This window comes from Homo sapiens, chromosome 6 (genome assembly GCF_000001405.40).
Source record: "Homo sapiens chromosome 6, GRCh38.p14 Primary Assembly".
Classification (NCBI taxonomy): domain Eukaryota; kingdom Metazoa; phylum Chordata; class Mammalia; order Primates; family Hominidae; genus Homo; species Homo sapiens.
Genome location: NC_000006.12, coordinates 83,984,180 through 83,999,352, shown reverse-complemented (window position 1 = coordinate 83,999,352; position 15,173 = coordinate 83,984,180). Strand labels below are relative to the sequence as shown.

Below are 15,173 nucleotides of genomic sequence, written 5' to 3'. Positions count from 1 at the left end.
CACACTGGTATATCCTTCCAGACCTGTCTCTTGGATGCTCACAAGCTTGAGCATTTATCTTTGACCCATCAAAAGTCATGCAAAAGCCCATGCATATAATGCCTGTGTAGCCTGACTCTACTCTCAGGATCTGTTTGCTGCTTTATCTCAGCACATTAGGTGAATCCTGAACTGTGAGGACAGGCACTGAAGCAGCTGGCAAGTCAGGTGCCACAAAGCCTCCATCAGGACCAAGTGCTTATATGCCCAACCAGCTCTCACTTCTTTTGTTCATGCTTCCCTCAAGCCCTCTGCTCATCAGAAATGACTCAGAAATACCCAGTATGAAACACAAGTTAAGCAAGCAAAGTCCTTAGCTTCAGGGTGCCTACAGGGCCCTAAATCAGACTAAGTGATCAGAGGTCACAAAAAGGCCGACATAGCACAATCATGAAACTCTGAACAGATGCATCAAATGTATAATGGACTTTTTAACCTCAAGCCAAAGAAATTGGCATAGAAAGAACCAATTTTAATGGATGAGAAAAAGAACTACTTGGCAGAGAGATTAAATTATTCCCTCTTATTCATACATTGCATGACTTGGTAGCAGAAACAAAGCTATTGAAAATTTTCTCCTAGATTAGAGACTATTCCTAGAGTTATCTTTTTAGTCTAAATAAGGGTAACACAATGTTGGGCAGTGTTTTCCAAAATGTAGGATGAAAGCCCTTTTGCCCAGAATTACCAGGAGAGTGCTTGTTTAAAACCCACTTGTTCTGACACCATCCTAGACCTTAATCAGAATCTCTGGGGGATAGGAATGCTAGGAGTGTGTATTTTAACCAGACCCCAGATGATTGTTATGTGTCCTCAAATTTGAGACCTATAGATATAGGGAAATGAAATTTTACTAACATCATCTCCATTTCCCAAATGTGCCTAGAGCCCTGAGGCTCTTGTTAAACAGAGTCCTGGGCCCCTCCTCTGGAGATGCAGTTTCAGTAGGTCTGAGTCAGGGCCCTGGAATCTGTATGTTCCATAAAAGCCCCAGGTGATTGTTATGATGGGCAAGTTTGGGTAATTCTGATACAAGATGATTGATTAGAGCATATCTCAGTTATACTTCATAAAAATAAAGCTGACATTTATTGAGTCCTTACAACTAAACACTCTGTTGAATGTTTTATGGTGTTAGCTCACCTCAAACAATCTTATGAGGTAGGTAGTTTTATGACCCTTATTTTTTAGAATAGGAAGATAAAACTTTGCAAAAGTAACTCAAGGTCACATATCTAGTAAGTAGTGGAGACAGAATTTGAACTCAAGGCCTAGGAATCTAGGATTCCTGTTCATTCCCATGGGACTATCCTGTGTATCTTTATGTATCAGACAACTGTCAGAACTGAGTCACTCTACCTTAGATTTTCTACTGTATTTATACCTGTCGATTTTCATTTTCTTGGTTTTGCAATTTTTTGAAACAAGGCTTAATACTCCAGGTCATAAAGCCTATTCCTCTCTGTTTTACTAAGTGTTTTTCTAACCAAAGCCTTATTTTTTGATTTTTATTAAAAATTTTTTCTCTGTGTACAATATAATACCAAATTCACTTCTTTGTGGGAACACTGGAAATTTCTGTACTATTAGCTTCTCCTTCAGTGATCTCGTTGACTGCTTCTATGTCACAGCACAGAACTCAGGATTATGACTGCCAAGGGACTAAAATGGATGCCACAAAATCTCCCGCTTAGCAGCTGGAACAAAAAAGCTTTGATCTTAGGTGTTCCTGATGATTTTTTAAAACTATGTCTATTGTTTGCACATAAACCTGAGTCAGACTGATCTCCTGAGCCATGAGCTAATTTTGAAATCTGTTGAAGTTTGTAAAAAAACAATTCTCAGAAATCAACTTTCTGTGTACACACATTGCCTGGGACTGTGGTACTTCAATGAATGGGTTGTGTCAGGATTAGAGAGGGACATAGAGAGGTCTTGGTGGGAGGAGAAGGGAGTGGGTAAAGGGTGAAAGTTGGTTTTATACCAAATTAATGGACATGATGAGCCATTTTTTTCCATATTCAAATTCAAAGGTAGGAAGAGGAACTTGGTGGCTGAAATTAATGGGCATGCTAAGCCTGATTTGGAGAGCGGTCATCTTCCCGAAGGGTTATTTATTGGTTGGCAGTCCCTAAGCAACCAAGCAATGGATCATGAATAGTCCAAATGGGCAGGAAACACAAGTTAGTAATTGTTCTTAAAAAGTAATTGCATTTTGGTAACCAAATGAAACAGTGTTCTGTTTAACTATTGAACATGCTTAATGTACCACTCAGACCTGAAAGCTTCACAGTCCTCTTTTTTTCTTAAAAAAAAAATTGTAATAGCTTTATTGAGGCATAATCGACAAGGAGTAAAGAGCATATATTTAATGTATACAAGTTCATAAGTTTTGACATATGTATACAACCATGAAACTATGACCAACATCAAGATAGTAAACTATGCATCACCAGCAAAAGTTTCCTCATGATCCCTTGTGGTACCTCCCAGCCCATCCCCTTCACTCCTTGGCAACCACTGATTTGCTGCTGTCTGTTACTACAGATTATTTTGCATTTACTAACATACATAAATGGAATCATAGAGTATGTACTCTTTGTCCAGCTTCTTTCTCTCAACAAAATTATTTTCCAATTAAATCCATTTTGTGTTTATTCATAGTTAATTCCTTTTTATTGTTGAGTAGTATTCCATTGTAAAGATGTACCAAAATTTTTTATCCATCCATCTGTTGATAGACATTTTGGTTTTTTCCAGTTTATGAATAAAGTTGCTATTTGCTTACACGTCATTGTGTAGATATATGCTTTCATTTCTCTTAGGTAAATATCTAGGAGAGTAATGGTGGGGTCATATGGTGTATGTTTTTATTTTTTAAAAACTGCCAACTGTTTTTTAAAGTGGTGGTATCAGTTTACCTCCCTACAAGCCATGCATGAGAGTTCTGGTTCCTCCACATCCTCGCCAACACCTTGTATGGTCAGTTGTTTTTTTTTTTATTATTTTAGCCCTTCTAATAGATGCGCAGTGGCATCTCACTGTAGTTTTAATTTGTGTCGGGGGAAATTCACCCCCGTTATTTCATGTAGGTTCTTTTCTATTTTCCCTAAGTGTCGGCCAGTCTGAGAAATAAAGGGAGAGTACAAAAGAGAAATTTTAAAGCTGGGTGTCCAGGGGAGACATCACATGTCGGCAGGTTCCATGATGCCCCCCAAGCCACAAAACCAGCAAGTTTTTATTAGTGATTTTCAAAAGGGGAGGGAGTGTACAAATAGGGTGTGGGTCACAGAGATCACATGCTTCACAAGGTAATAAAATATCACAAGGCAAATGGAGGCAGGGTGAGATCACAGGACCACAGGACCAGGGCAAAATTAAAATTGCTAATGAAGTTTCAGGCATGCATTGTCATTGATAACATCTTATCAGGAGACAGGGTTTGAGAGCAGACAACTGGTCTGACCAAAATTTATTAGGTGGGAATTTCCTCATCCTAATAAGCCTGGGAGTGCTACAGGAGACCGGAGCTTATTTCATCCCTTATGGACGACCATAAAAGACAGGCGTCCCCAGAGTGACCATTTCAGAGGCCTCCCCTTAGGGATGCATTCTCTTTCTCAGGGATGTTCCTTCCTGAGAAAAAGAATTCAGTGATATTTCTCCTATTTGCTTTTGAAAGAAGAGAAATATGGCTCTGTTCCACCTGGCCCACAGGCAGCCAGACTTTAAGGTTATCTCCCTTGTTCCCTGAACATTGCTGTTATCCTGTTCTTAAGGTGCCCAGACTTGATATTGTTGAAACACACATGCTCTACAAACAATTTGTGCAGTTAATGCAATCATCACAGGGTCCTGAGGTGACATACATCCTCCTCAGCTTACGAAGATGAAGGAAATAAGAGATTAAAGACAGGCATAGGAAATCACAAGGGTATTGATTGGGGAAGTGATAAGTGTCCATGAAATCTTCACAATTTATGTTCAGAGATTGCAGTAAAGACAGGCGTAAGAAATTATAAAAGTATTAATTTGGGGAACTAATAAATGTCCATGAAATCTTCACAATTTATGTTCTTCTGCCATGGCTTCAGCTGGTCCCTCCATTCGGGGTCCTTGACTTCCCGCAACATTTTTGCATTTTCCTAATGACTTATGATGTTGAGCATCTTTTCATGTGTTTATTTGTCATCCACATGCCTCCTTTGGTGAAATATTTGTTCAAACTCTTAGCCCAGTTTTTTAGTTGTGTATTTATTCTCTTACTTTTGAGTTTTGAGAGGTCTCTTTTTACATTCTGGATACAGGTTCTTCACCAAGTAGTTTCTCCCAGACTATGGCTTTTATTTTTATCCTCAGAGTTCTTTATGAAGCCTATTAATTAGGGAAAGCAGATCTTCCAGGAGCCTGGGTGTTGCCTGCCCACTGCTGCAGATGCCCAGACCCATGTGAGAAGAGCTAGAGGAAGCTGCAGTGTGGTATCAAGGTCAAGGAGTAGGGTGGGACAGAAGAGGCTATCGGACGAGAGATAGGAAGGGCATCTGTTAGAAATAGGCACTGGCTGAGAGGCCTTCTCCTGTTATTTCATTCTTGCACTCACTCCTAAGTATTAGCTATTGTTACCCTGATTCTATAGCAACTTCCCTAAGTTACAGAGCCTGAAAGTAGCAAGATTTAAAATCAAACTATGTAATGGGTGAATCTCACAACCAGTAATGAAGGAAAGTCAGAGTCAAAAGAGTACATAGAAAATGGTTCCATTTACTTAAATACAAAAGCAGACAAAACTAACCTATGCTGTTAGAAATCAGAGAAGGGAGTAATGACTGAAAGAAGGGACAGTCTCTTGGGCTGCACACTAGATTGCTGATGGTTTCTAGGTTGTAACTGTGTACCAGTGAATGTGGTACAGTGTTCGCAGGTTGATGAACTGCTACTTACATTATCCATTGACAAATGCAGCAATCCTAGGATCTTCTCAAATGTTACATTTTTAAACACGAGTTTAGTTACTGGCATTTTCCTATTTACATAAAACATGGTGGTTATGGTGTGTGAAACTTAACTATTTTAAGATACTTCTTTTATGGTGATTAGGCCCTATCTCTAGGCCCTAACAGTTCCATGAGCTTTCTTAGGCCTCCAGGTGCTTATTTAAGACAACTTTTCCTTTATTCCAACTCTGAAGAAGAACGTCATCCTCATTAACAGCTCATAGGAAATGAAACATATCTAAACTGCAGGGATTACGGTTTAAACAGGAAAAAGAAAGGTTTGTAACTGATCCAGTTAGAAATTATTTGACATCTCAGCCAACATGACATGATGGGACTAACTCAAATGTACAATAATTACATATGTCTATTGAACAAGCTGCAGACAAAGGTTATGGGCTTTCAGGGGACAAGCTCTCTCAAATAACCCTTGCAGTGTCTGAACAGAATATACACTATCCAGAAAGGAAGACTGATTAATCCTTTTAGGCAGGTGACTATTCCCAACTATACATGATTTGTAACATAATCCAGAAATGTTTATTCCCAGTCTGAATTTATTTTTCCTACCTTCCTCTGTTTTGCTCTTATGAGTAATTTCTGCTCTTAGAGAATGCTCTTCTCATCCTTTTTCTGATAATCTTTGATATTTCTATGTAGGTGGAAGGATACCTCATGAAAGTTATATTTTAATGGCAGTTGTTTTACTTGTCCTAGATGTGGAAATTTGTGTTCCCCAGGTAGGATGGTCTGTCTCAAGATACAGCCAGATGTGACCCAGTGTGGAGAATGAAGCCCATCTGTGAAGAGCCAGAACTTGGGTCCAAAGAGCTGTACAATGGGGTAGGCAGGTCTGGGGAAAGGGGCTTCCCACACCCTCACTCAACCTGAAGTCTAACAGGCTTCTAAAGGCCAGCCACATCATGCTGTCCTTATATACTTTTACATTTATTTAATAAACATCTATAAAGGGCTTACTGTGTGCAAGGCACCATTCTAATCGCTTTACAAAGACTCACCCATGGAATTCTCATGACAACCCCTTGAGGGTAATGCTCTTATGATCTCTACCATACAGAGGAGGGGAACAAAGGCATTTGCTCAAAGTCAGCCAGCCAGGAAGTACTAGAGCCAGGCTAGGAGGTAGGTTCCTGAGTCCACTCTCTTCTTTATCCTCATCCTGTGCTGTTTCCAAGAAAAGCCTAACATGAGATAATGGGCTATGTCATGTCAGTGAAGAGTCAGACAGGAGCAAGTGGCACTCAGAAGTCCAGGCTAAACGGGGCATAAAGAAAGTCTAAGGAAAGGTGGCCAGGCATGGTGGCTCATGTCTGTAATCCCAGTACGTTGGCAGGCCGAGGCAGGCAGATCACCTGAGGTCAGGAGTTTGAGACCAGCTGGGCCAACATGGTGAAACCCTGTGTCTACCAAAAATACAAAAATTAGCTGGGTGTGGTGGCGGGCGCCTGTAATCCCAGCTACTCAGGGGGACTGAGGCAGGAGAATTGCTTGAACCCAGTACGCGGAAGTTGCAGTGAGCGGAGATTATGCTACTGTACTCCAGCCTGGGCAAGAAGAATGAAACAAGGAAAGGAAAGGAAAGGGAAAGGAGAAAGGAAGAAAGAAAGAAAGAAAGGAAGAAAGAAAGAAAGAAAGTCCAAGTAAAGGTAGGAACAGCACTTAGGCTATCAGGGTCAGAATAGCCTGGGGTCGGGAAGGAGGCTCTGAACCAGAGGTGGCTGCCTGGTGGGGCATACATATTCAAAGGATCATTCTTGTTTCTAATTTGTCATAAAATATGCATATGACTAAACATACTTTTTTGATTAAAAAATCCAGTCATTCACTCATTTACTCATTTATTCACTCGTGCTCATCATTTATCTGCCAGTCATCCAACAAACATTTACTGAGTATGTCTTATGCGTCAAGAACTTTGCTGAATGCCAGGGGAGAAAATAATAAACCATAGACCATACACTACAAATTTAAGATTTAATAATATCCCTAACTGAAAGTACAAATTCCTTCTGAGAAGCCCAGTGAATAATTTACATTCAAACTTGTTTAAAAATGAACGAATGCTAAATTGTAAGTTAGAAATGAATAAGTTTGTCCATGATCTAGTAGTAATGCACATTCAGTGTGGATCTTAACCATTTTAATCAAATAAGTCAATGTTTCCCTATTGCTAAACTGATATTAAAAATAAAAAATAACAGGAGATGAAAATATAAATTTTGACTTCAAATTCCTTAAAAAGAAAAAAAAAACTGTAGGTACTATTTGAACCATACATTTAAACTCCAAATCAACATTATTGCTTCAGCAATTGTTCTTTTATGAAAAAGGATACATTGATTTTTATTTCATTAGTAGGGTATAGCTTTTTAATAGATAAGGTAAATAAATAGGCAATTTAAATCAAGGTATCCATTAAATAAATTGGGTAAATTAGGATTTACTTTAGATTTGTGGTTCTCAAATATTTTGGTCACAACACCATTTTACAACTCTTAAAAATCATTGAGGACTCTAAAGAGCTTTCATTTCTGTGGATTATATTTATCAGCAGTTATGATATCAGAAATAAAACTGAATTTTAAAAATATTTGATTGATTCAAAATAACAATAAGCCAATTGCATGTTGACATAATTAACATATTTATGACAAATGTGTTTTCTAAAACAAAAACATTTAGTGATAAGCGTGGCATTGTTTTACATCTTTGCACGTCTCTTTACTGTCAGCTGGATTCTCATGTTTGTTTTTGCTTTCAATCTGTTGCAATATGCTATTTGGGTTGAAAAAATTCAAACTTCATAGAGACATATACTTGAAAAGGACAGAAGCATTTAAGTAGCCTTTTATAACTGTGGATAGCCTTCTTTGACATAACATCAAATTTCAACAGGCGGTAGTTTCTGAAAGGTAAGCTTCATTGTGGGATGTGAAATGATTAGCAATGAACTTTTGGTACTCTGTAACATTAAAATCCACTGGTCTATCTTGCACTTTGAATAGATCTTTACCCATGTATATTTTTTACAAGATTACATATTGGTAAATATAAATTTGAATATTGATATCAAAAAGTAAATGACATTTAAAAAAATCACATTTTTGGCTGGGCACAGTGGCTCACACCTGTAATCCCAGAACTTTGGGAGGCTGAGGCAGGCAGATCATTTGAGTTCGAGACAGCCAGGCCAACATGGTGAAAACCTGTCTCTACTAAAAATATAAAATTAGCCGGGTGTGGTGGTTGGCGCCTGTAATCCCAGCTACTGGGGAGGCTGAGGCAGGAGAATTGCTTGAACCTGGGAGGTGGAGGTTGCAGTGAGCTGAGATCACTCCACTGCACTCCAGCCTGGGTAACAAAGCAAGACTCCGTCTCAAAAAAAAAAAAAATAAATAAATCACATTTATGAATACCTATAAATCTCATAAAAATGTCTTCAAGCATTGTGAAGCGGACAAATTCACAGTGGAAGATAAAACTTTTCCAAAATTCTAATCTCTTAAAAGTTGAAACTTTATCATTAGCACCAAACACAAAATCAGCAACATTAACAAAAAATGTTAGTCCTGGCAGTGACAGGCTACTTTGTTAATTTTCCAGAAAATATCTGCCAAAATACGCAACTGAATAACCATAGTTTGTATTTTCCTTGTTCATTCAAGTAAAAATGGTGTTCTGTAAATAAAGCAGCTAGCTCAGCTTGCAACTCAAATTGATTTTCCTGAGACAACCATCTTCCTTCAGGATGCAGCAGAAGTGAAATTCACTGAGTTGCTGTAATATTGGAAAGTGTTCCTGCTGTAACGTCTTTTATTTACTTTTCATCCAGCAGGCATTCAGCAATATTTGGTTTTAAAATTGTAAAAGGTCTCTAAGTTATTGGTTATGCTCTTACGGTTAATGCAGTATGACTATTTACCCTAGAAGATGCTTCAGGGAGTTTTCATTTCTAGTTCAAAAATTTGTAACAAATCATTTTTGGCATTTAAAGAGCTCATCAAGTCTACAATTAAAATATTAAATTTTCCTTCTTTAAACTATGAGTCATTGCCCTCAAAATTGACAACAACTTAATTGACACGCTATATCATCTGAAATTTTTGTTTTTCATAAGACCCACTATGGCAAATTATTAACATCTAAAAAGTGAGGGAAACTCACAAATGATGATAGTTTTCATCATTTGTTTGTTTTATGTAAAGTTTTGCATGATTTCTTTAGAAAGTCAGAATTCTCTGTTACGTCAGTTTTCACATTTTTCAGTATCTTTAGACATAGATGGTACAACTATGGGTTGAGAAAGCAAGTCTTCTAATCTCCCCTTTGTAGACCAATAATCTTTCCTTAAATACAAGAAAAATATACTACAATTTAAAAATTCTGTATTAAAATATTACTGGACTGTAAAGTAAGTTTTAGATATAATTTAAAACATAAAAGTTTTCATAAGATTTAAAAATTATTATAAAATTGCATATATAATATGATCCCATTTATACAAAATTATGTGTGTGTATATATAAACATAGAAAATTTATGTTAGAACGTTCACTGACAAGTTCATGGTGATAATCTCTGAGTGGTGGGAATTTAGCCATTTTTGCTTTTTTCCTTTATACCTTGAGTATTGCCTAGGTTTTCACATGTATTATTTAGAGCATTTTAAAAGACATTTTCCTTGTTTGTTGCAGAGAGGGAAGCCTGTTCCCTACGGTGAGCAGTCATTGTGCAAATACCTTGGGGGATGTTATAACTGCCCTAATGCATGCCGCCTTGTGATGTGATATGGTCAGGATGAGTGCGACTAGTCAGATGATTTGATAAGTTTGTGTGGAAGTGATTTGGGAGAGAAAATTGTCCAGGCTGATCAGAGTCTGCAAACATGGATGTGAATATGCCAAAACATGAATACTCTAATTTAACTTATTGAGAGAACTATAACCGTCATAGCCCACTGGATTATCAACTCATTGTCTTCCAAATCACAGAACTGATCAGAGAAAACAAACTTTAGAGTTATAGAATGCCAGAATTGGAAAAGAACTTAGAGATCGTCTGGCTTACTCCTGTCATATTACAGATGAGAAAACTGGGCCCCAGGAAGAAGAAGTATGTCTTCCAGGTTGCATGGAAATTTAAAACTCTCTCTCCCCGTGTGTGTGTGTGTGTGTGTGTGTGTGTGTGTGTGTGTGTGTGTGTATGTTTACGTATGTGTGTGTGTGTGTGGTGAGGAGCAGCATCATTTGGGAGGCCTGACACCAAGTCCACATTGGAGCCATGATTTATCAGCCTTGGAGAAACAGTGACCCAACCCTTACTCTCCATGTCTCCCTTATCGACATCTCCAAAATTTTCTGTAAGCTTCTTGCCACAGTTTCCAAGATAGCTGCTTATCCTGGTTTAATTACACTTTACTATATAAGTTTCCTGTTTCCTTCAGAGGGGCCACTTCATTCTCACATATGCTATCTAAACCTTAAGGCAGATGGAACAGCAGTGTAGGCTGTGTTCATGTTTATTAGTATCAACTGCAGACTAAATCTTATGTGCAGACTCCAGGGATCAGTCTCTGTTAAATGCATTGTCTCTTCTTTTAGTGTAGTTACTGTAAGGATCATTAGACAGAGCAGCAGTAGCCTGGGGACTGTAAGCAATGGACTGGGAGAAAATAAAGGTTGACACTCAAAAGTCTATTGAAGGTACATTCATTGCCCCCAAAATTGCTTAAACCTACAAAATGTAAAGCCAGATTCAACTGAATGTGGCTGCTTAGCAATCTCAAAATCATTTTGGAAACAGTTGGGGTACACATTAGGATTCTTCAGAGAAACAGAACTACTAGAGGGGTGGAGAGAAGAGGAGAGAGAGAGAGAGACTGCACGCCTGGCTTTTTCACATTCTTGTATTTGCTCCCCAGTCTGTCCTCAGCCCTGACCATCAAAATTCTACTTCCTGACAAAGCAGCTCAAATACCAAATCCATCCAAAATCTTTACAAATGTTCAAATCTAAAATAACATGTTATTCATCTGTGTTTCCCACAAGAATAGGTTTCTTAATGATTCTACAAAACAAAAATGAAAAACATTCTCCCTTATACCTAGACCTTTTAAAATGCATTCTTCTGGATGTGAGCATCTTGAGGACAGGGAGCATCCCTACATCTTCACAGCATAGGCACTCACATATTCAATTCATTGCAGAGCTAGAGAAACAGGGAAGTAGAACAATTTCTCAAGGTCACCCCACAGGACAAGAATACTTAGAGATAAGGCAAAGTCTTGTTGTAATTATCCACCCCCCACCTACTCCTGCACTCTGCCATCTGGGGTCACCTCATACCCACCTGTACATCCAGGCTGCATGATTCTGGCCTTAGCTGAATGAATATAAGGGGTGCAAAATCAATTTATTAGCTCAGCCTGAGTTCAGCTAACTTTGCTCTTGCCTTGGACTCATAAGTCCAGACCTTGAAGGGCTAGATTTTCTGTCCTTCAGCACACGCCCTCATAGCTGAGGTGAAACAATTATGAGCTTATAAGAGTTTCACAAGACCACGGCTTTGGGTAGAGACTGAAGCTGTGGGCTCAGGAGTCAAGAGATCTGGATATGAGTTCTAAATGTTACTCCCACCAGCTAAGGAACTTGGTTAATTATGCGACTTCCCCTAGCATCTATTTCCCCATTGGCAAAGTAAGAATTATTAATACAATGCAGTTTGTAAGTTTTAGTGAGGAAGACATGAGATGCAGTTTATGAAAGCGCTTTACAACATTGCTACAGATCTCAGTTATTCTTGAGAACAGGTCCCCCATGGACTTCTCACTCCAGCCCTTCTGTTCCAGAAACACTTTAAATGAGGGGCCTGGTCTCAATACACCAACCTTCAACTAGGGCCAGATTACGGTCTTTATATAAACTAATGTAAGTGTAGGGAATTATAACACAACATTCTTATATTTCCTAGGACAATAGCTTTGAGGATATTTTTGAAACAGAACATTCTTTCAATAGGATACTCAAGGCCCCTGTTTTGCTGCCCCAAGGACATTGTGGGATCAGCCTAGTGGTGAGCCAGCATGGCCTTCTTCTGGCTTTAATGACCTGAGGCCTGGCTTTCTCCTGACTGGATCAGCTGAAGCCCCCATCCCTGATTACCCTGGTCTGACTCACTTGTTCTAGAAATGATGAGGTAGGGGAAAAGATCAGCAAATGGCATGGTCTAGATGGAAAGACAGTTCTTACCTTGACATCAGTCATTTGAGACAGGGCGAGCCAGCCAGGTGAGATGAGGGCAGATGGCTCATACTTAGAGTAACTCTGGTTGAGTGAGGCAGAACTGTTTTCTCTAGGTGAGATCTGAGAGTTGGGTATGCATCTTCTGTGCCAGAAGGCACGATCAGCTATTCCAATTCAGAAAAGTTATGCTTTGCTACTTACCCTTCCTCTCCTCTCTTGCCTTATTTCTCATGACTGGAGCATTTTAGCAGATGGGAACACTGGATCCTCCATGTACCTGGCCTTACTGCCTTTACAGAGCTCCACCAATCCCTTCACTCCTACGGCCTTAACTCCTCTTACCCATTGATATAGTTTGGATCTGCGTCTCCACCCAAATTTCACCTTGAATTGTAATAATCGCCACTGTCAAAGCCAGGACCACGTGGAGATAATTGAATCATGGTGGACGTTCTTCCTGTGCTATTCTTGTGATAGTGAGTCCTCATGAGATACGATAGTTTTATAAGGGGCCTCCCCCTTCGCTCGACACTCATTCTCTCTCCTGCCACCCTGTGAGGAGGTGCCTTCTGCCATGGTTGTAAGTTTCCTGAGGCCTCCTCAGCCATGTGGAACTTTATAAATTACCCAGTCTCAGGTATGCCCTTATAGCAGCGTGAGAACAGATTAATATATCCATTTATACCCAGTCTGAAAGAGCTTTCAGATAACCTTGCCTCAAGGTAAAGCTAACCTTTATAACTTAAGCTTCAGTTCCTCTTCCAGGAATCCTGTTATGATTCCTTAATATGGAGTGAGGGATTCTGTCTCTACCTCTCATATCACTTTTGCACATTTCTAATGTAGCATTTATTATGATGCACCATAATTGCTGGTCTATTTATCTGCATGCCTAATTACACTAAGAACTTTTTCATTAAAATAAAAAATTCCATTACACTGAGGGATGGAACTATTACCCCAGAGTAGGCTCAGAGGACATCAGGAATTCTAAGTCACCAAAGAGATCAAATTGATGGGTGACAATACAGACATATATAAACAAGCTCTTCCAAATACTTCATATTACTTAGGTGCTTGCCAATGCTGGAGAAAGGGAAATCCATATTATCTGTGGGTCTTGACTTCATGTGGATAGGGGGTTCATCAGCTTGGCAAAGTGCCAAATGCTAAAAGAAATCAGCCTATGGACTATGATTTAGAAATAAATTATGTAGATAGTCATTGCTTTCTTATTTTCTTTTCACTTGCCTGCCATGCTGTAATTTAGCATTTATGAGCTCTGCAGTGAATCAGTGTTTTAAGAAAATAGAAGATCCTTTTTCTCTTGACTCTAAGGTTACCTAGAAATTTGTTATGCAATAAAAACAACATTAACATTCTCTGAAAATATTCCCTTGGAACATACCTTCTAGGGCTCTCCAAAAGCTCCAAAGAAGGGTTTCAAAATTTTTCCTTTAAAGAACAACTTGAGTCTAGCACCTCTCAGAGGAAATGCCAGCCTCAATTTTTCTTGGCTTAATTTCATTTCAAAAATAGTACACTTTCTTCTTCCTCCTCTCAAGCTCTGCTCCCTAGTCCTAGGAATAAAAGGAGTCGCAGCAAAGCAGCTGCATTTCATAGATAACAAAGGTAAGAGCAAAAGTAATGATATTGAAGACAAAAGTACATTAGAGAGAAATGACAAAACCAGAGACTAATTCTTTAAAAAATGCTAATAACTAAAACTTTGAAAGTATTGATGAATGAGAGGAGAGAGAGAGAGAGAGCAGGTAAACAGTAGAAATAAAAAAATGGCTTTAACTGCATATATAGAAAGAATACCAAAAATAAAACAATGTGAACAAATTTTTTGCCAATAAATTAGAAAAGTTAGACTAAATTAACCATTTTCTAGGTAACATGTTAGCAAAAATGATTCAAAGAAAAAGTCACAGAACCAAATAGACTTAAAAATATTAAATATAATCTATAAAGGAATTTTAAAAACTGCTCTTGGGTTCGGAGAAGAGGGCTGAAACAGTTTTACAAGTGAGATCTACCAACTGTTAATGGAGCAGATTCCTGTCATGTAGGAATTATACCTTAGATTCTTATGCTGGAATGTCATAGATATGTGTTTCTCATCTTCATTGGGCCTCATCTTCCATCTATCAAGGTATAAGTTTATCCATGGATAAGGCTGGCTTATACATTCTGTCCTAGAAATGTGTTCTAGATCTTCTCTAGGACAAGGAGGGACCTTCTACTCTATGGTGGAACACACAGATCCTAGAAGAGACCAGGTTTGGGTTTTTTTTCCCCTGTTAACAAACAAACAAACAAACAAACAAACAAACAGGAGAAACAGGAGGAAAAAACCCAAAACCTGGTCTCTTCTAGGATCTGTGTGTTTCCTTAAAGTCTTAGTTTGATTATGTCACGGGTAGTATGAGTGACTCCATTTTGGTTTGGTCTGCTCTGTTGGGGCCTTGTGCATGAGTTCAGTCAAAAACAATGGCCTCCCATAATTTTGTTAAAAAACTCCCCTTTTTGGTCAGGTTCTCACTTAGGTGAGAGTGTGACCAAAACTTAGGGCTTTTGTGTCACTCTTAGTTACTACCATTTTGGGTTTCTGGTCTCAGCATGTCATTTATAGGTTACAGTGCCCTCAGGGTCACACATTTCTTTCAGCTCTTGTCATTCCAGTTGGAGAGACCATTTGACTTTCTAGAGATGGCTGCATGCAAAAATTTAAATCTTTTAAGAGAATACAGTATATCAGGGAGACTACTATCATGAATATCGGAGCATAACACGAAGAGTTACCCAAGATCCCCATATCCAAACCACCTAAAATTAAATAGATCAAAGAATAAGCTAGATAAAGGGTCTGCCT

At 38.7% G+C, this 15,173-nt stretch overlaps 1 annotated feature.

Annotated features, from left to right (window-relative positions):
• Positions 316-516: a silencer, noted in NCBI's record as "peak5932 fragment used in MPRA reporter construct". NCBI's record gives its function as "represses an SCP1 promoter by STARR-seq MPRAs in K562 erythroleukemia cells {active_cell/tissue: K562}" and the evidence as "EXISTENCE:reporter gene assay evidence [ECO:0000049][PMID:32103011]".